We start from the raw sequence: 21,704 nt of genomic DNA, 5'->3' as shown, positions 1-21,704 counted from the left end.
TGAAACAAAGGCTTTGAGTTCAGAGACCTACATGTTTAGACCAGTGTGAGGCAGGAAGGGTATTACGGAGATGGCTCACAAGTATGTATGGCATGATCATGGTGTTGTAAACCAGTGTCAGGACTGGGTTTTCTGGAGTGAGGTGAGGCATTTTGAGGGGTTTTGAGCAGAGATGCCATAATTTAGCTTGCATTTTAAGAAGCTCATTCTGGATACCGCGTTTAAAAATGGCCAATCGGGGAGCATAGGGCAGAATCTGAAAGCTCAGAGGAGGCTCTTTTTCTTGGCATTTGCCAGGTGAGAATCAATGGTGCCTCTGAGGGTGTGAATAGTAGAGGTTGGTGAGGTGCGAACTCCGGGGCATATGTTGACAAAGGATGATTCCTTGATTAAATCTAGACTAGGAGAGAGAATTGTCCCAAGATCTTTGTTTTGAAAACTGCCATGTGAGAGTTGCCACTGAGTTGGGAAATGACGGCGAGAGCCAGAATCTGAGGAAGGTCAGTCTAAAGTTGTTTGAGCTAAAGCTGTGATGTCTATTAGGTGTCCAGAGAGCAGTGTGTAATGTTTCTGAACTGAAGGTAAAATGTGGGTGTCGTTCATGTATACATGTGTATAACACAAATGTGTATTTAAAGCCAAGGACTGAGTTCACCAAGGATAGGAATGTTGCTCAGGAAGCAAAACGATCCAAAGACTGATGCCCGGAGTTCTCCAACATAAAGTGATTGGGGAGAAAAGCAGAAACTAGCGAAGGCCTTTGAGGGAGTGGTCATTAGGCTAGAAGGTAAAGTAAAGGGTGTGGTATCCTCGGATCCCAGTGAGGCAAGTTTCCCAACGAAGGAAAGGTCAACTGTGTCAGATGGCAGTCCTTATTCAAGGAGACTGAAGACTGAGAATTGGCCAATGACATTAGCAAGGTAGAAGTCATTGTTGGCCAAGAACAGTTCTGGAAGGGTAGTGAGAGCAGAAAAGCCTAATTGAAAATGATGAAAGGAGAACTGAAGACTTTTAGGGCGGGTGCAGTGGCTCATGCCTGTAATCCCAGCACTTTGAGAGGCTGAGGCGGGTGGATCACTTGAGGTTGGGAGTTCGAGACCAGCCTGGCCAACATGGTGAAACCCCATCTCTACTAAAAACACAAAAATTAGCCGGGTGTGGCGGCATGCAACTGTAATCCCAGCTACTTGGGAGGCTGAGGCAGGAGAATCGCTTAAACCCGGGAGGCGCAGGCCACGGTGAGCTGAGATTGTGGCACTGCACTCCAGCCTGGGTGACAGAGTGAGACTCCATTGTGTGTATTTAAAAAAAAAAACAAAACCTTAAACAGTTTTGTTGCAACATGGGGCAAAGACTTGGGAGAGAAGTTGTTTGTGTAAAATGGGGATCAGGAGAATTGCTAGGTAAAGGACTCTGAAAATACGGCAACATGGAAAACATCCAGTCTCCCACCGAGTCGCCACATAGGCTGGGAAGTAAATTAAAAGGGCTTCCCGTGTGTTCTATGCCTGGATTTGCCATAGGATCCTCAATCCTCCAAGGGTTGGCCAGCTTCCACATTTCCCTTCCCGTCTCTTTCCTTTAATGTTGAGTTGGAGATTCCTAACTCTTTTCTCTAGGTGGCCCTTAGAGACAATGACCAAAGCTGTTGCCCTGATGTCCTGCTGCAACTCCAAGGGAGTAATGAGAAATGTTCTTCCGGGGTTGGGGGTGAGGGCCGGTGGTGGTGGTGGGACTCTAGGACAACTTCTTTTTCCTCAATGAAATTGTGAATTATTTGTTATTATTTTTTGAGTCAGCGTCTTGCTCTGTCACCCAGGCTAGAGTGCAGTGCGTGATCTCAGCTCACTGCAACCTCCACCTGCAGGGTTCAAGCGATTCTTCTGTCTCAGCCTCCTGAGTAGCTGGGACTAGAGGTGCACGCCACCACGCCTGGCTAATTTTTGTATTTTAAATAGAAACAGGGTTTCACTATGTTAGCCAGGATGGTCTCGATTTCTTGACCTCGTGATCCACCTGTCTCGGCCTCCCAAAGTGCTGAGATTACAGGGGTGAGCCACCGCACCCAGCCGTGAATTGTTATTTTTTTAACTTCAGGTTCAGTGGTACATGTGCAAGTTTGTTTATGTAGGTAAACTTGTGTCACAGGTTTGACGTACATATTTTGTATATAGACTATAAGACTGTACGCCCAGCTACTAAGCCTAGTACTCATTTATTTTTTCCTGATCCTCTCCCTCCTCCCCTCAAGTACACCTCAGTGTCTGTTGTTCTCCTCTTCAGGTCCATGAGTTCTCATCATTTAGCTCCCTCTTACAAGCGAGAACATGCAGTATTTGGTTCTGTTCCTGTGATAGTTTGCTAAGGATAATGGCCTCCAACTCCATATTCCTGCCCCCGCCAAAAAAAAAAAATGCTCTCTTTTTTATGGCTGCATAGTATTCCATGGTATATATGTATCACGTTTATCCAATCTTGTTGCTAGGCATTAGGTTGATTGCATGTCTTTGCTATTGTGAATAGTGCTGCATTGAACATTCATGTGCATGTATCTTTTTGGTAGAATAACTTGTATTCCTTTGGGTATATACCCAGTAATGGGATTGCTGGGTCAAATGGTAGTTCTGCTTTTAGCTCTTTGAGGAATCACTACACTGCTTTCCGCAATGGTCGAATTAATTTACACTCCCACCAACAGTGGGAACATCCTTGCCAGCATCTGTTTTATTTATACACACACACACATATATATATATACATAATTTGTTTTTCGAGGTGGAGTCTTGCTCTGTCACCCAGGCTAGGGTGCAGTGGCACAATCTCGGCTCACTGCAACCTCCACTTCCCAGGTTCAAGTGATTGTTCTGCCTCAGCCTCCTGAGTAGCTGGGATTACAGACATGCACCACCAAGCTGGCTAATTTTTTGTATTTTTGGTAGAGACGGGGTTTCACCATGTTGGCCAGACTGGTTTCAAACTCCTGACCTCAAGTGATCCACCCACCTTGGCCTCCCAAAGTGCTAGGATTACAGGCATGAGCCTCCACGCCCAGCCTGTTATTTTTTGATTCTTAAATCGTAGCCATTCTGACTGGTGTAAGATGGTATCTCGTGGTTTTGATTTGCTTTTCTCTAATGATCAGTGACATTGAGCTTGTTTTCATATGCTTGTTGTCTGCATGTATGTCACCTTCTGAAAACTGTCTGTTATACCCTTTGCCCACTTTTTAATGAGGTTATCTTTTTCTTGTAAATTTAAGTTCCTTATAGATGCGGGTATTAGACGTTTGTCAGATGCATTGTTTGCAAAGGTTTTCTCCCATTCTGCAGGTTGACTGTTTGCTCTGATAGTTTCTTTTGCTGTACAGAAGCACTTCTGTTTAATTACTTCCCATTTGTCATTTTTTGCTTTTGTTGCAATTGTTCTTGGTATCTTCATGATGAAATCTTTGCCCATTCCTATGTCCAGAATGGTATTGCCTAGTTTTTGTTTTGTTTTGTTTGTTTTTGTTTTTATAACGGAATCTTGCTCTGTTCCCCAGTACAGTGGCATGATCTCGGCTCACTGCAACCTCCGCCTCCCAGGTTCAAGTGCTTCTCCTGCCTCAGCCTCCCAAGTAGTTGAGACTACAGGCACCCGCCACCACGCCCAGCTAATTTTTGTGTTTTTAGTAGAGGCAGGGTTTCACTATGTTGGCCAGGCTGGTCTTGAACTCCTGACCTTGTGATCTGCCCATCTGAGTCTCCCAAAGTGCTGGGATTACAGGCATGAGTCACTGTGCCCAGCGCCTCCAAGTTTTTAATAGTTTTGCACTTCATTTTGTCTGTAATCCATCTTGAGTTGGTTTTTGTATGTGGTGTGAAGAAGGCATTCAGTTTCAGTCTTCTGCATATGACTAGCCAGTTACCCCAGCACCATTTATTGAAAAGGGAGTCTTTTCTCCACTGCTTGTCTTTGTCAGCTTTGTTGAAGATCAGACGGTTGTAGTTGTGTGGCCTCATTTCTGGGTTCTCTATTCTGTTCTGTTGGTCTATGTGTCTGTTTTTGTACCAGTACCATGCTGTTTTGGTTATCATAGCCCTATAGTATAGTTGGAAATCAGGTAGCGTGATGCCTCCAGCTTTGTTCTTTTTGCTTAGGATTGATTGTCTTGGGTATTGGGGCTCTTTTTTTGTTCTATATGAACTTTAAATAGTTCTTCTAGTTTCTGTGAAGAATGCCATTGGTAATTTCATAGGAATAGCATTGAATCTGTAAATTGCTTTGGGCAGTATGGCCATTTTAACAATATTGATTCTTCTCTCCATGAGCATGGAATGTTTTTTCCATTTGTTTGTGTCATCTGATCTCTTTGAGCAGTGTTTTGTAATTCTCCTTTTGATCTTTCACCTCTCTGGTTAGCTGTATTCCTAGGTATTCTTTGTGAGCAATTGTGGATAGAATTACATTTCCGATTTGGCTCTCAGCTTGGCTGTCGTTGGTGTATAGGAATGCTAGTGATTTTTGTACATTGATTTTATTTTTTTCTTTTTGTATCCTGAAACTTTTGCAGTTTATCAGCTGAAGATTTGGGGCTGAGACTATGGGGTTTTCTGGATATGGAATCATGTCATCTGCAAACAGTGATAGTTTGACTTCTTCTCTTCCTATTTGGATGCCATTTATTTCTTCCTCTTGCCTGATTGCTCTGGCTGGGACTGCTGAAACGGAGTAATTTACATGTGGTTGATTGTGTGGCTATTATCAGCCATCAGCATATTTTGTCTTTTGCTCTCAGTGTAGAAAAACATGGTTAAACTTGTGCATGTGGATGTATCTTAATATCTTTGTGCATGTGGATGTATTCTTAGTATCCGGCTTGTGGGTCCCACTTAAGAAAGGTCATGAGGTGAACACACCATAAAGACCCAGGGGATTACTTCAAAGTCAACAGGCTGACCTTGGAATTAGCAATAGTCTTCTGACCTGACTAGAAATTTAAGATCGAGAGCCATGTGTGAGGATGTAATCCACTGAGAATCTTTGTTACAGGATGAAGTGAGGCAGGCAGGAGAAATTGTGGAGAAGATGTTCAGACCTTCACTAGTGCTTTCCTGCTATTATGTCTTCCACAGGTTGTCCTATGTCTCGACTGCTTCTGGTTTTGAAGACTTACTCAAGGCTTTGGCTCGTAATCGGAGCCTGACATACCTGAGTATCAACTGTACGTCCATTTCCCTAAATATGTTTTCACTTCTGCATGACATCCTGCACGAGCCCACATGCCAAATAAGTCATCTGAGGTGAGTTGTTGCTCGGCTGAAAGCTCAGTGCATGTGAGGGGAATGCCTGGGTGTTGGTGGATAGAGGTGCCCCTTCAATAACACTACCTGCTCCTACCTTTTGATGTCACTCATTCCTCAATTTTTTTAGCACGTGGTTTGTTTCTTTCACCAACATTATTCCTGCCTTTTGATTTCAATTTCTACATTGATATTTCATATAACATGGCTTCTCCCTCCCTTGACTGATATTTCTCTAATGATCTAATTCCTCTGGTCATTCTGAAGTAGACTACTGGTCAAACCCTAAAACACTGTCTAGTGGAAATTATTCAAGCCACAAACTGAAATTTTCCAGTAGCCACATTAAAAAGTAAAAGGAAGCAAGTGAAACTAATTTTTTTTTTTTTTTTGAGATGGAGTTTCGCCCTTGTTGCCCAGGCTAGAGTGCAGTGGCACAGTCTCAGCTCACCGCAACCTCTGACTTCCAGGTTCAAGTGATTCTTTTGCCTCAGCCTCCCAAGTAGCTGGGATTTCAGGTATGTGCCACCATGCCCAGCTAATTTTGTATATTTAGTAGAGACAGGGTTTCTCCATGTTGGTCAGGCTTGTCTCAAACTCCCAACCTCAGGTGATCCACAGGCCTCAGCCTCCCAAAGTGCTGAGATTACAGGTGTGAGCCACTGTGCCCAGCCTTGAAACTAATTTTAACAGTATTTAACCCAGCATATCAAATTATATCCATATGTCATTAATGCAAAAAGCTATTGATGTGATTTTATATTCCCTTTTTTGTAAAAGGCTGCAGAACCCAGTATTTCACAGAGAACATCGCCGCTCGGGCACATTTTCATCAGAAATGTTTGACCTCCGTATTGATTTCATAAAATTTACAATTGAGAGAACTAATTCACATGCCCGTGTCCTAAACATACTTAAATCTTCCAATAATTTGGAATCAACCTTTAAATTTAAACTAGCCAAGCCTGGTAGCTCATGCCTATAATCCCAGCGCTTTGGGAGGCAGAGGATGTGGATCACTTGAGGTCAGGAATTCAAGAGTTCGAGACCAGCCTGGCCAACATAGTGAAACTCTACCTCTACTAAAAATACAAAAATTAGCCAGGCATGGTAGCAGGTGCCTGTAATCCCAGCTATGCGAGAGGGTGAAGCAAGATAATCGCTTGAACCCAGGAGGCAGATGTTGCAGTGAGCTGAGATGGCGCCGCTGCACGTTCCAGCCTGGGCAACAAGAGCAAAACTCCATCTCAATAAATAAATAAATGAATAATAAATTCCAATGTAAATGTAGTAAAACTAACAATCCAGTGCCTCAGTCATGCTAGCCACGCTTTGAGTGCTCAGTAGCTCTACTTGCTGGTGACTCAATATTGGATAATACCACTTGCTAGACTTCATCTCCAATAAGTACATTTCGCTTGTACTCTCAATTTCAAGTACCTCATGCTCTAACGGCACCTCCTGTATTCTCAAGCTGCTTTGTCTTGTAAGCAAATCTTCCCACCCTTTAATCCTACTGCGTCCTTCAGCCATTTGAGCAGCAGCTTCCCACCCTTTCACCCCCTTCATCCCTTTCTTTTTGTTTTTGTTTTCATTTTTGTTTTGAGACAGAGTTTCACTCTTTTTGCCCTGGCTGGAGTGCAGTGGTGTGATCTCAGCTCACTAAAACCTCCGCCTCCCGGGTTTAAGCGATTCTCCTGCCTCAGCCTCCCGAGTAGCTGGCATTACAAGAGCTTGCCACCACGTATGGCTAATTTTTGTGTTTTTAGTAGAGATGGGGTTTCACCATGTTGGCCAGGCTGGTCTCCCACCCACCTCAGCCTCCCAAAGTGCTGGAAGCCACTGCACCCAGCCCCTCACTTTCTTTCTGACATAGTTCAAATTCCATGGTTCTTGAGAGTCATTGCCTTCCACCTCACTCAGCATCCCTTCTCCCTATCACATTCTCCCAGCTAAATCCCAACTCTGTTGCCACTTTGTAGTTAGCCTCTCCCCTACCTCAATGCCCCCCTCCCCAAACTCCTTTCATCTTGGAACACATTTTCCTCTTGGCCTTTGGTTTTTCCCAAACCTTGATTATTCCTCCTCAGTCATCTTTACTTGTTTTTCATCTTCCTGGACTCTTATCTTTGGGATATTTCCAAGTGGTTCTAAATGTCTTTTCTATACCCCTTCTATGAGTTCTTATTCATGGCATTAAGTAGCCTCTATGTGATGAAGACTCTTAGGTACTTATTTACAAACATTTCTCCTGGTTTCAGACTCAGTGAAGTATTTGTAGAGATATCAACTTTGATATTTATTTATGAGACAAAGTCTTGCTGTCACCTAGGCTGGAGTCCAGTGGGGTGATCTCGGCTCACTTCAACCTCTGCCTCCCGGGTTCAAGCAATTTTCATGCCTCACCCTCCCAAGTAGCTGGGACCACAGGGGTACACCACCACACCCAGCTAACTTTTATATTTTTGGTAGAGACAGGGTTTTGCCATGTCAGCTAGGCTGGTCTCAAACTCCTGACCTCACGTGATCTGCCCACCTCAGCCTCTTACTTTGATATTTAAATAGGCATTTCAAATACAGATTTTCTTGTGGCCTGGCTTAGACAAATTTTCTAGGTCTGTTGTTAGAGTGGATCCATCTGACTCCTTCCTGCTTCCTTTACTGCTAAGCATGATAGACCAACCCATCTCCCACCTATCTGCAGTACTTCAGCATCTTCCTACCTGTCCACACCTTTGCTTGCTACATGGAAAAGAGTGTAGAAGGGCAACTTTCATCTAGTTTGGATTGTTTTGTTTTCCGGTGTGTGTGTGTGTGTGAGTGTGTGTGTGTGTGTTTGAAGCAAAACATAGCTTTATTTTTTGATATATCAGTTTTACTACAAGGGTAGACTTAACTCTTTTTAGTTTACTTTTAGCTTCAGGGATGCGTGTTCAGGTTTGTTACACAGGTAAACTTGTGTCATGGGAGTTAGTGCAGATTATTTCATCACCCACGTACTAAGCCTAGTACCTCATAGATATTTTTATTTTTTCTGATCCTATCCTCTGAATCTCAGCCCTCAAGTCGGCCCCAGTGTGTATTGTTCCCCTCTATGTGTCCATGTGTTCTCATCATTTAGCTCCCATCTGTAAGTGAGAACATGTGGTATTTGGTTTTCTGTCCTTATGTTAGTTTGCTAAGGATAATGGCAATCTAAGTCAGATCTTGTGACTCTGTCCTTTTAATCTTCAGGCCCTCAACGGCTTTCACTTTCATTCCAAATAGAATACACAGGCCAACGCGACGGCTCACGCCTGGAATCCCAACACTTTGGGAGGCCGAGGCGGGCAGATCACCTGAGGTAAGGCGTTCCAGACAGCCTGACCAACATGGCGAAACCTCGTCTCTACTAAAAATGCAAAATTATCCAAGTATGATGGCGCATGCCTGTAATCCCAGCTACTCGGGAGTCTCAGGCAGGAGAATCACTTGAACCTGGGAGGCGGAGGTTGCGGTGAGCCGAGATCACACCATTGCACTCCACCAGCCTGGGTGACAAGGGCAAAACTCCATCTCAAAAAAAAAAAAAATAATAATAATATAGAATACACCATTTCACGCTGGGTGGCCCTGGCTAACCCTCTCCCCATCTCCTGTTTATGTACCGTGCTGCGGCTGCACTGTTTGTTGTAGATGTTTAAAACACCAAACCTGCTCCTGCTTCTGACTCTTTCCACTCATTTCCTCTGACAGAAATTCCCTTGTCCTAGAGATTCAGAGCTTGCCCTCTTCTCTCAAGTTTCTGTTAAAATTCTTCTACCTTATTTAAGTCAGAGCTTCTGACTCTTCTGTCCTCTAATCTTCAAACCCTCAAGGGCTTCCATTTCATTCAAAATAGAATACACAGGCCAAGTACGATGGCTCAGTGAGAGTCTTCGCTCAGTGCCTGCCCCATAAGGAAGTAGAATACATCCTTTTCTTTCTCTATGACCTACTCTGATTTACTTTCTATAAAGAACTGATCATCTACTAGGCACATGATACATTCAGCCCTGTCTTTACAATGCTAGAATTCCATCGTATTTCTTCCAGTTTTCTGCTGTATCCCAGGAACTTCATACAATGCCTGAAAATAACAATATTTGTTAGTTGAAAGATGGTTATTATTCAAAATCCTCATTGAAGAAGAGAATATTGAGTGACAAGTTGAAGAAAGTGAGACAGCAAACCATGCAGCTATCTGGGGAAAGATCACTTATTTTTATTCTACTTATTTTATTTATTTTTTTTTAGAGATGCGTCTTGCTCAGTTGTCCAGGCTGAAGTGCATTGGTATGATCATAGCTCACTGCAGCCTCGAACTCCTGAGTTCAAGTGATCCGCCCACCTCAGTCTCCCAAGTAGCTGGGACTATAGTCGTGCACCACCACTCCTGGATAATTTAAGGAAAAAAACTTTTTTTAAAAAATAGGGTCCCATGGGGAAAATCACTAAGTAGAGATAAGGGTACTAGACACTAAAGCAAAAATATGCTTGTGGACTTGAGGGAGAGTGAGGAGATCAGGGAGGATGGTACAGAATGAGTAATGAATAGAAAGTTAGACCGGACACAGTGGCTCATGCCTGTAATCGCAGCACTTTGGGAGGCCGAGGCGGGTGGATCCCCTGAGGCCGGGAGTTCAAGACCAGCCTGGCCAACATGGTGAAACCTGGTGTCTACTAAAAATACAAACATTAGCCGGGTGTGGTAACGCATGCCTGTAATCCCAGCTACTCGGGAGGCCGAGGCAGGAGAATCGCTTAAAAACCCGGGAGGCAGAGGTTGCAGTGAGCCGAGATCGCACCATTGCACTCCAGCCTGGGCGACAGAGCAAGACTCCATCTCAAAAAAAAAAAGAAAATAGAGATAGTTGAGAGCCAGAGCATGTGGGGCACCCAAGGCTATGCAGAAAAAACATCAGAAGTCCTTGTAAATGTGATGGTAAGTTGAGGGTCTTGATCAGATTTATAAATGTGATCGTACCCACATCCCATGGTCAGGTGGGATGCTTGATACCTGACTTACCGTTCTGAACCATCACCCTGGAAACCACATGGAGATGAATGCAAAAGAGGAAGGAACTGCCTGCTCACAGCCCTTCGTGAATCTGTAACCTTGCCCAAATTTGAACTCTGAGGAGTGGCATAGGGAGAAGAAAGGTTAGAAGCAAAGGGATCTATTTATTTCCAAGTAGACATCATCGCACTTGGTTAGGTCTCTCTTTTTTTTTTTTTTTAATTTAAAAGAGGGGATAGCTTAAACGCGGGAGCCTCTTTTCATTTCTGAATTCCTCTTACAGCTTGATGAAATGTGATTTGCGAGCCAGCGAATGTGAAGAAATCGCCTCTCTCCTCATCAGTGGCGGGAGTCTGAGAAAACTGACCTTATCCAGCAATCCGCTGAGGAGCGACGGGATGAACATACTGTGTGATGCCTTGCTTCATCCCAACTGCACTCTTATATCACTGGTGTAAGTTGGCTTAGACGAGCTCACCACGTAGAAGCTCAGACTGACTTGAATATCTAAGCACATGATCAAAGAGCAGTGGTGGGGAAAGGGACAGCAAAGCAAAGCAGCCGAAAGCACAGTCTTTGGAGTTCAGTAGGTCTGGGTTAATACTCTGGGTTGACAGCTGATTTGCGAAACGTTGGCAAAAATGTTTCTGGATTTTTTTTCAACTTGTATTTCTCAATCTGGACAGTGGAGTCATAACATGACCAAACATACATCTTTGGAGATAAGAGTTAAAAATGGTGGTCACGGCCGGACGCGGTGGCTCACGCCTGTAATTCCAGTACTTTGGGAGGCCGAGGCAGGCGGATCACAAGGTCAGGAGTTCAAGACCAGCCTGGCCAACACAGTGAAACCCTGTCTCTACTAAAAATACAAAAATTAGCCGGGCGTGGTGGCGGGTACCTGTAGTCCCAGCTGCTTGAGAGGCTGAGGCAAGAGACTTGCTTGAACCCGGGAGGCGGAGGTTGCAGTGAACCGAGATTGTGCCACTGCACTCCAGCCTGGGTGACAGAGCGAGGCTCTGTCTCAAAAAAAATAAAAAATAAAAAATGGTGGTCACAACATTCTAAACACAGCACCTAGGCCATAGCAACTGACTTTCTAAGAGCAGGGAACCTATATTGTTCTCACAGTGAACACGTGAACTGGGTGTCGTGTAGGATGAGATGTGACTGAGAACACAAAGACGAAAGCAAAGGAAAGGTTTGGTGCTAGATTGCCTTGAAATAGGATTTTTTCCCCTGAGTCTCCTTTCAAGAAGGTGGAAGACGGGCTCTCCCTGTATGTAACCGACTGTGGGTTACTCGTAGGTAAGCTCTGTCTGCTCTGGGAAAGTGGCTAGAAAGGCAGACTTCCGGAAGGTTGGGGCATGGCAAACACGATGAAAGATGGCAAAAAAGTGGCAAAAGTGAGGCATAAAGGTACAAAAATGAAGGGCGGAGATCTGTAAAACATGGTCAGAAAACAAAACAGTAAGTAGCTCGGTGTATTTAAGGACATGATTCCCCGTTCACAATTCCAAATTCCAAAAAGACAAAAGAATGCAGTAGGTCATCTTGTTTTTTTGTTTCGCCCATTTTTGGCTCCCTTTAGCTCCTTTCGCCCCCTTTTTAGGACTTGCTAGATTCCAAAACATAATACAAACTGATATAATATTCTTTATATTCTTTATATTTTCTGTAAAAAATACTTGTTTGATTGCAGGATAACACCAGAAACTCCTGTTCATATTATGTAATATCGCATTATGTATGCTTTTATTTATTTTTTTTTTTTGAGACGGAGTCTCGCTGTATTGCCCAGGCTGGAGTGCGGTGGCGCGATCTCGGCTCACTGCAAGCTCCGCCTCCCGGGTTCACGCCATTCTCCTGCCTCAGCCTCCCGAGTAGCTGGGACCACAGGCACCCGCCACCACGCCTGGCTAATTTTTTGTATTTTTAGTAGAGACGGGGTTTCACCGTGTCAGCCAGGATGGTCTCGATCTCCTGACCTCGTGATCCACCCACTTCAGCCTCCCAAGGTGCTGGGATTACAGATGTGAGCCACTGTGTCCAGCCATGTCTTTAAAATCTCAAATTGTTCTAAGATCCATGTGGCCCCAGATAAATCCAGTAAGTAATTGTCAATATGAGCTAATTTTGTTGTAAAAGAAGGTCTCATGAAAAAAGGGACAGACCATTGGTTCAATAATCAGACTCCAAATAGATATTTTTTTCATCTCATATCTACAAGTTTTTTGTTTCCTGCTAGATTTTTTCTTTTTTTCTTTTCCCACTGGTTCCAGGTATAATTTACATATCAGAAAATTCATCCACTTAAGGTACACATTCGATGTTTTTTATGCATATTTAGAGTTGTACAACACTACAATATAATTTTAGAACATTTTTATCACCTTAGATTGTTGGCATGGAGTTTTTCGTAGTTCATACCTGTATTTAAAATAATCCAGATATACTAAGCAAAAAATATTTGTTTTGGTAACTTATTTTAAATAGGCAAGGAATTTCTAAGCCTAAGAACGTGAAAGAAATCACAGTAGTCTGAGGAAAACACCTGTAAAAGGCCAAATTTATGGTCGTGACCAAATCTGACAGCTGGAAAATAGTATGCAAATGAGTTGATAGTGCTGGTTTCTACGAGGACAACAGGGAACTTCTCTAGCTCATTCTTAGTCTTAACTTTTACTTGTACATATAATTTAAAATAAGCACGCATTAGTATACAAAGGAAAACCTAGCCCATTTCACGTGTCAAACCCAAATTAAAATAACTACATATACATTTTCCGATCATTTTAAAGCACAAAAATCATTCTAAGCTTGCAGCTGTGCAAAAGCAGGGAGGGGCCAGGTTTGGTGTGCTGCCAGCCTCTGGTCTAGTGTACCCTTTTCCCATACCAGAGCCAAGATTCAGTATTTCCAACCAATAAATTGGTTGTTTTCAACTTTTTTTTTTTTTTTTTTTTTTTTTTTTTTTGGAGACAGTCACCCAGGCTGGAGTGCAGTGGTGCAATCTCGGCTCACTTCAACCTCCACCTCTCCGGTTCAGGCAGTTCTCCTGCCTCAGCCTCCCAAGTAGTTGGGACTACAGGTGCACACCACTATGCCGGCTAATTTTTGTATTTTTAGCAGAGACGGGGTTTCACCATGTTGACCAGGCTAGTCTCGAAGTCCTGAACTCAGGTGATCTTCCTGTCTCCCCCTCCCAAGGTGCCAGGATTACAGGTGTGAACCACCGTGCCCGGCCTATTTCCAACTTTTTAACCCCTTCCCTGTTTAGGAAAAAAGTGCAGCTCACTGCCAGTGCAGTATTCCCAGGGCAAACAGAAAACGGGTTAAAAAAAATAGAGATTCGGCCGGGTGTGGTGGCTCACGCCTATAATTCCGGCACTTTGGGAGGCCAAGGCAGGCGGATCACTTGAGCCCAGGAGTTCAAGACCAGCCTGGGCAACACAGTGAGACCCCCATCTCTATTTTTAAAAATTATTTAAAAATAAATAATGGAAAAAAAAATAGAGGCTGGAAATCCAGATTAGGATTGAGTAAACTTCCACATATTGGCAACGAGCTAAACCTGGACAGACAAAACGGGATACCACAAAATGGGCTAACAACAGGGCTTCTGGTGTGCCGTCTGTCTCCACTTTTTCCCAGTTTAAAAAAATCTTCAACAGTTCCTGTATTCACTTATAAATAATAAAGTAACTCTTTCAAAGTGAGTTTTTAAACTGAAAATCCTAGGATTCAATTTAGCCAAATATACTTTATCAAACGATGGGAGAAACCAAGTTCCAGAAGTAACGTCTATAAGATTATTCCGTTAGTAGAAGTTGGAGTTAGATTTTTCTCATGCCCTGTTCTGCATCATCCATTCTGTATTTCAGCCTCTGCACTATTTGGGGTACTTCTAATCTCCTTTTCCAAATAAGAAAGTCATTGGTAGAGATTTGGGGCAATGGCAGTAGAAGGCATCGAGGCGCCCGTGGGCGTGGGGTGGGTGGTCTCAGGTGCTCCCCTCTCTGGTGCTCACACTGTCACTGACTCACTCTTCTCTGTGTGCAGGTTAGTCTTCTGCTGTCTCACTGAAAATTGCTGCAGCGCCCTTGGAAGAGTGCTTCTGTTCAGCCCAACTCTAAGACAACTAGACCTGTGTGTGAATCGCTTAAAAAATTACGGAGTGTTGCATGTGACGTTTCCCTTGCTGTTTCCAACCTGTCAGTTAGAGGAGCTTCAGTAAGTCTCCCACAGTTGTCCTGGATGACTGTGTTTCTACTGCATGAGGGCTTGGGTGGTGGGGTTGGTGGCAGGGATAAGATTCCAGTGATGGCATCATGGGTGATAGGGGTACGGGAGCATGGGCTCCCCAGAATAGGCGACATGAAAGCACGGTAAGATTCATTGGCAAAACCTTTTAGCTCAGAAGGAGCAGAGTTCACAAAATCCCTCAGATCCTTATCACATGGAGAAGGGTGCCTGGGCCGGACCCCTCCCCCTGCCCCGGGTGGACATAGCATGGGAAAATGCCACAGGAGAAGGGACCCAAAGATCCTGCCCTGGCCTGGCTTGCAATTTCTGAGGCAGTGAATATCTTTTGGGGTTGGCGATCATGGGGGCATCTTTCTGTTGGGAAATAGCTTTATTGGAAAAGGGATGCATTGGGGGAGGTGGCCATATCCAAGCCACTGGTACCTACCAAAGACATCTAATTTAGGCATGATGCAATGGCCTCTGATTGAACTTCCAGGAAAAAATATGTAACAAGCCACTACAGTTTTTTGAGTGTGCCTCATCAATGATGCTGAATAATCAAACTTCTCGTATTTTCTCAGAAGTAGTGATTCTCCCACTTGCCTGAAAAAAAAATTGTTTAAAAAATGCCTTGGAGTTGTTTAATTTGAACTCTCTTGAAAATGTTCTATTTCAAATGCCTTTTTTTGGGCTCAGAAATATAAGAAACTGATAACCTAAAAGCATCTCCTGTTCATAAAATAGCAACACTATGGCTTGTGAGCTCCTGAACTGAAGTGCTTACTGGACTGTATAAGAATATGCTCAGCAGTATGGTATCTTATCTTTATTTCTGTCTTGTAGTTATAAGTTAAATCCATGTTACCATTGTAATTTGGTACAAATGGGCAGGTAAAATAGGAAATTGTAGGGATATCTTTTCTTTCTAGAATCTTGCTTCCTTTGACAAGGCAGTTTAGGGAAAGCTGCCTTGGGGAAAATAATATAACTCACCCTCCCTTTTTTTCATGGCCCTTAGTTTGTACTTAGTAGGTTGAGACAAATTCACTCATACTGTAGAATAGGGGTTAGAAACCTTTTTCTATAACAGGCTAGACAGTAAATACTCTGGGCTTTGTGGGCCATAATGTCCCTGTCATAACTATTTTTAAGTCTCCCATAGCTGAAGAGAGGCCATGAAAAATGTCAAATGGGTGTGGCTATGTTCCAATAAAACTTTATAAATAAAAAACAAAGTTGTCTAGATTTGGCTCTCAGACCATAGTTTGAACCTTGCTGTAGACTCCAAACACGTTCTTTTGTCATCCTTCAAGAATTGTCTTAAGTATAACTGTCCATTTTGTCTATCACCTACCCAAAGCTGGATAGGGACCTCCTCTATGAGCTCCCATAGGGCACATGGAAGCCCACATTATTGATCACCCTTTATTTTCCTCTAAGTTTGAAAGCATGGATGTGGTTGGCACATCATTAACTCTCTATATATTTTACCGACAGGGTTTTGCTATATTGCCCGGGCCAGTCTCAGACTGCTGGGCTCAAGTGATCCTTCTGTCTCAGCCTCCTGAGTAGCTAGGACTACAGGAATGCACCACCCAACTTTTATAACTACTAAATGAAAAATAGGATCTTCTGGAATCTGCTTTAATATGATTATTCAGTATTTAATATACATTCTATAACAAAGAATATATGTTAAGTGTCAGGCACTCCTCTAGGTGGCTGGGATACATCAGTGAACAGAATAAATATCCATGTATTAATGGATCTTGTATTGGCACTGGGGGAGATAGGAAATAAAACATAAGAAACTTATGTATTGTTAGACCAGAGGTCAGCAAACTGTATCACCCAGGCGCCAAATCTGGCCCTCTGCCTGGTTTTATAAAGATCTTACTGGAACACAGCCATTCATCTACATGTGTTTCATGCATGCATTTGTGCTGCAGTGGCAAAACTGAGTAGTTGTGACAGAGGCACCATGGCCGGTGAAGCCTAAACTATTATCTGGCCCCTTATAGAGAAAGGCCGTCAACTCCTGTATCAGGCAGTAAAAACTGCTATGGAAACTTTTTTAATTCAATCCTAAGGGCACGTAATCAGGAGTGCTGAGGGTAGGGTATGGCCATCTCTAAGCAAGGTCAATGTCACCTCATTGACAAGGGGACATTTGAGCAAAGACTTGGAGAAGGTTGTGGATGGAGTCATACAGATCACTAGAGTGGCGCTTGCAAGCAGAATGAATAGTCGGTGCAGAGCTGTTAACAGAGAAACAGCCAACTGTGCTCGAGAATCAACACGAAGGCCAACGTGGTGAGGCAATGAAGTAGGATTGTAGGAGTAGATAATGGGGGAGACGTGAATGGAAAAACAAGGTGGCAGGTCACATGGGAGAACACGGACAATCGTGAGTACGTTGCTTGCTTTGAGAAAGGACCATTTGGTAAAATCCTCTTTATAGAAAGAATGTATTTAGCCCTTCTCGATGTTGGATTTTGACATGAGTACTGAAAGGCAGAAACGTGAATGTCAGAGGAGGTTGCCTAACATAATTCTTCAGAATCCAAGCTCAGTATTGCAACGGTGTAGGTTGAATGTATGTGGCTTCCCGGGACAAAAATGCTTAAAACATTCTGGCCTCAGTTTCCTTGTTTGTAAAACCAGGATAAGAGCCCTGTGATCATTGTGAGTTTAATGTGCATTAGGAGTTTTGAACAATGCCTGGTATGTTGTAAGTGACCTGTAGATGTTAACACTGCTCTTGTTTCTGTAAGCAGTCCCTTATTCATGAATGTCACAAGACGGGTCCAAGAATGCTTAACACTCTGTGAAATAAATCTTTGGAGACAGGTGGTCATGACTCTAGCTCATGTTTCTGTTTTGCAGTCTGTCTGGCTGTTTCTTTAGCAGCGATATCTGTCAATATATTGCCATAGTTATTGCTACTAATGAAAAACTGAGGAGCCTGGAGATTGGGAGCAACAAAATAGAAGATGCAGGAATGCAGCTGCTATGTGGTGGTTTGAGACATCCCAACTGCATGTTGGTGAATATTGGGTAGGTGCCTGGTGGAGAAAGATCCCTGCCTTTAGCTAGCAACAGCTGAAGAAAAGCACAAGAGGAAGTGGATTGGGAAATACAATACCTCGGACATAATAGTCTAGTGTTTGAAATGGGACTCTTATTGCACAGTCAGTTCTTTTGCCCAAAACTTGGAGGGATCTAGTAGATGTCCAGTTCTCACCCATCTCATCTGCCATTTTTCCTCAAGGATTTGGCCCCACCTTACCTGTGCATCTTCGTTGCAGGCTAGAAGAGTGCATGTTAACCAGTGCCTGCTGTCGATCTCTTGCCTCTGTTCTTACCACCAACAAAACACTAGAAAGACTCAACTTGCTTCAAAATCACTTGGGCAATGATGGAGTTGCAAAACTTCTTGAGAGCTTGATCAGCCCAGATTGTGTACTTAAGGTAGTTGGGTAAGTTGCTTATTTTCCTTGGTGATGGGGAAAATTCTTTTTTTTTTTTTTTTTTTTTTTTTTTTGAGAGACAGAGTCTCACTCTGTTGCCCAGGCTGGAGTGCAGTGGCGTGATCTTGGCTCATTGCAACATCAGCCTCCCAGCTTCAAGCGATTCTCCTTCCTCAGCCTCCTGAGTAGCTGGGACTACAGGCACCCACCACCACACCTGGCTAATTTTTTCTATTTTTAGTAGAGACGGGGTTTCACCATGTTGGCCAGGGTGGTCTCAATCTCCTGACCTCATGATCTGTCCACCTTGGCCTCCCGAAGTGCTGGGATTATAGGCGTGAGCCACCGCGCCTGGCTGTGATGGGGAAAATTCTGTGTTGAGATGGTCTAGGACCTATAAGATGATGATGAGAAACCCTCTTGCCAGTTTCCAATACAAAAAAAAAAAAAAAGTCTTTCCTCTTGGGAGATTGAAAATGTATGCCTCGTTCTTAAAGCAGAGGATGTACTCAATGGTGAGTAAAAGATGACAGTTGATATTATACTTGACGTAGACCAAAAAGGGTTCTACGAATATTTTCTATTTTCTTTCCTCCATTTGGATGTACCCCTCATTACGAGAGAATAAAAATAGGCAATTCTCAGTCTATTTCATGTTTCCAAATCCATTAGATTCCTCTCATAAAAGCAAAAGTTCTCTTCCTTTCTGTGTTACCTAACTGTTGCCAAGTATGTTACCACCAACTTGGATTCAATGACACACTATCTTACAGTCTATGTGAGTGTCAGGACTCCAATCCCAGCTTAGTTGGTCGTCCTTGAGATCTCTCATGAGGCTGCAGCCAAGATGTCATCCAGGGCTAGGGTCAAATCTGAAGGTATGTCTGGGAAAGGAAAAATCAGCCTGCTTCTAAGATCATGTGGTTGTTGGCAGAATTCAGTTCCTGTAGTGCTGTTGGGCTAAGGGTCTTAGTACCTTGAGAGCTGTTGGCTGGAAGAGGCCCTCAGTTATCAGCAAGAAACACTGAAAAGACTTGCTCTCCAACTCTCAAACAGCAACTGTTTGTCAGGTTTTTCAAGGCAATAGAGTTTGTTAGCAAGGCAGAAGTAGCAATTCTATGTAGGCTCACCAAAAAAGTGACATCTCACCATATTTGCCTATTGGATAGAAGCAAATTTGGCCAGGTGCTGTGGTTCATGCCTGTAATTCCAGCACTTTGGAAGGCTAAGGCGGGTGGATCACTTGAGGTCGGAAGTTTGAGACCAGCCTGGCCAACATGGTGAAAACCCATTTCTACTAAAAATACAAAAGTTAGCCGGGCGTAGTGATGCATACCTGTAATCCCAGCTACTCGGGAGGCTGAGGCACGAGAATCACTTGAACCTGGGAGGCGGAGTTTGCAGTGAGCCGAGATCGCACCATTGCACTCCAGCCTGGGTGACAGAGCAAGACTCCATCTCAAAGGAAGCAAATCACAGGTCTTGCTTATGCTAGAGGCAAAGATGATACAAGAGTGTGATTGATACAAGGTGAGGATTGTTAGAAGCCATTTAGAAGCTGCCTATCAGCTTCCATTCACACTGTCACGTGTGTAGAAAGCTCTGGCAATATCTAGCATTCTGTTTCTACCTGCCTTATTTAAAGGAAAATCATATTCAGGTTACTGAGCATTCAATTAGAGACTAAGTATAAGCATCCGGATGACCCATTAATAAAATACAGGAGGGGCAACTCATTTCCCACTCATGTCCAATTTTTCTCAAATGGAAAATGGTGATAATTATCTCAGAACTCTTAAAGATTAAATGAGATCACAGACTCTATGCTGGAGACCCTACTATGAGTTGTTTTCCCTTGTCATCTCTAAGTGATAATTTTTTCATAAATATGGATATTGAGTCAAACTTTCAGATGCATAGAAAAACCCATAAACATTACAAATTTTCCAAATTGCTTATTCTCTTTATTTTTCCTCCCCAGGGCTCTTCTCACCTTCAAATGTATAATGTATTTATTCTATTATCTAATTCCTTCCACTAGAACATGAGCTCCATGATGCCAGGGATATTTTTCCTTCAGTATTATAGGTGCTCAAAAAAAACTAAACTGCAGAAATGACCATATTTCAGGTTATAAAGGTATTTGTGCCTACATGCTAATTGGGACACTCACATGCAGAGAGGGCACAAAATAAGTGGCTGAATCCTCCTCTTTGATTTGGAGAAAGAAACATGAGCATGGGCTGCGGTGTAAGTGTGCCTCTGTTCTCTAGCTATGTAAATTTTTTTTTTTTCTAGTTAGGGTCTTGCTCTGTCACTCAGGCTGGAGAGCAGTGGTGTGATCATGGCTCACTGCAGCCTTGACCTCCCAGGTGCAAGTAATCCACCTCAGCCTCCCAAATAGCTGGGACCACAGGCACGCACCACCACACCCGGCTAAGTTTTTGTATCTTTGGTAGAGATGGGGTTTTGGCATGTTGTCCAGGCTGGTCTCAAACTCCTGAGCTCAAGTGATCTGCCTGCCTCAGCCTCCCAAAGTGCTGGGATTAGACGTGGGACTGGACTGCGTCCAGCCTGTAAACATATTTTAGTTGGAAACTTTGACCCTCAGTATTGGAACCTATAAAGTCTTGAATGCCATTACCCATTGTGAGGATGTAATGTGAGATGCATGTAAAGCATTGAGCACGTAGTGGCGTTGGTTACTACTAATATTACTTCAAACAGTTCTCCCAGTGGAAATCTTGTCTTACATTCTAATATTTAATGGAGAAATCGCTATCTCACGGTTTTCAGTCTGGAACAGATTTTTGTTTCCTCAGAGATGGCTTGAGATACTCCCAAGAATACCCAAAGGATGCCATATGGGGAATTAGTCATTGATGCAACAAAGCTGAGACCTCACATGTAGCATTAACGGCGTTCTCTCTCTGTTTTCCTTCAGGCTTCCATTAACTGGCCTGAACACACAAACCCAGCAGTTGCTGATGACTGTAAAGGAAAGAAAACCCAGTTTGATCTTTCTGTCTGAAACTTGGTCTTTAAAGGAAGGCAGAGAAATTGGTGTGACACCTGCTTCTCAGCCAGGTTCAATAATACCTAATTCTAATTTGGATTACATGTTTTTCAAATTTCCCAGAATGTCTGCAGCCATGAGAACGTCAAATACAGCATCTAGGCAACCCCTTTGATCATGTTGTACGTAAACAGTATTTATTATAAATTACTACCGTGACTGGGATGCAAGAGAATTAGGACTATAATTTTCCTATTTGATGTGTGTGTGTGTGTGTGTGTGTGTGTGTGTGTGTGTGTGTGTGTGACCTTGATCCAGTCAACCACTTCAAATTCCTACACTGTCTCAAGAGTATTAAAAGGATTATATGAAGTAATAAAGGATAAAATGCATTGGAAAAAGCTGTGAAGCATGATTGTTTCATCAGTGGGCACGGTGGAGTAACACTAAAGAAACTATGATCCTTTCATGGTTTGTTTCTTGTTTTTGTTTTTCTGGGTTTTGTTTTTGTTTTTGTTTTTGTTTTTGTTTTGGTCTAGGGAGAGTTGTTAGAAGGTGTCCCTAGGAATCCTTCGAAATGAAATCCTCATCTCACCTTCCCTCCTGACTTCGTATTCCTGCTGCACCATGTTCTTCCCGGATCTACCTAA

At 43.2% G+C, this 21,704-nt stretch overlaps 1 protein-coding gene across 8 annotated transcripts in view; it reads left to right on the top strand.

Moving 5' to 3' along the window:
- The window catches only part of NLRP11 (NLR family pyrin domain containing 11), a 51,177-nt gene extending 29,722 nt beyond the window's left edge, over positions 1 to 21,455 (top strand). For 5 of the 8 annotated variants that reach the window (NR_169622.2, NM_001297743.3, NM_001385451.2 and 2 more), the window contains 6 exons: positions 5,115 to 5,282; positions 10,604 to 10,774; positions 14,383 to 14,553; positions 17,455 to 17,625; positions 17,877 to 18,047; positions 20,983 to 21,455. Coding sequence is in view for 5 of the 8 variants with exons in the window: in NM_001297743.3 (NP_001284672.1) it covers positions 5,115 to 5,282; positions 10,604 to 10,774; positions 14,383 to 14,553; positions 17,455 to 17,625; positions 17,877 to 18,047; positions 20,983 to 21,229 (1,099 nt within the window). In the remaining 3 variants the exon portion in view is untranslated. Of the gene's footprint in view, positions 1 to 5,114; positions 5,283 to 8,516; positions 8,626 to 10,603; positions 10,775 to 14,382; positions 14,554 to 17,454; positions 17,626 to 17,876; positions 18,048 to 20,982 lie in introns of all 8 variants that reach the window. The other 3 variants (NR_169620.2, NR_169621.2, NM_001385453.2) reach the window with 3 other exon arrangements.

The sequence above is a fragment of the Homo sapiens genome, chromosome 19 (genome assembly GCF_000001405.40).
Source record: "Homo sapiens chromosome 19, GRCh38.p14 Primary Assembly".
In the NCBI taxonomy this organism is placed as follows: domain Eukaryota; kingdom Metazoa; phylum Chordata; class Mammalia; order Primates; family Hominidae; genus Homo; species Homo sapiens.
This window is presented reverse-complemented; position numbering and strand designations above follow the sequence as displayed.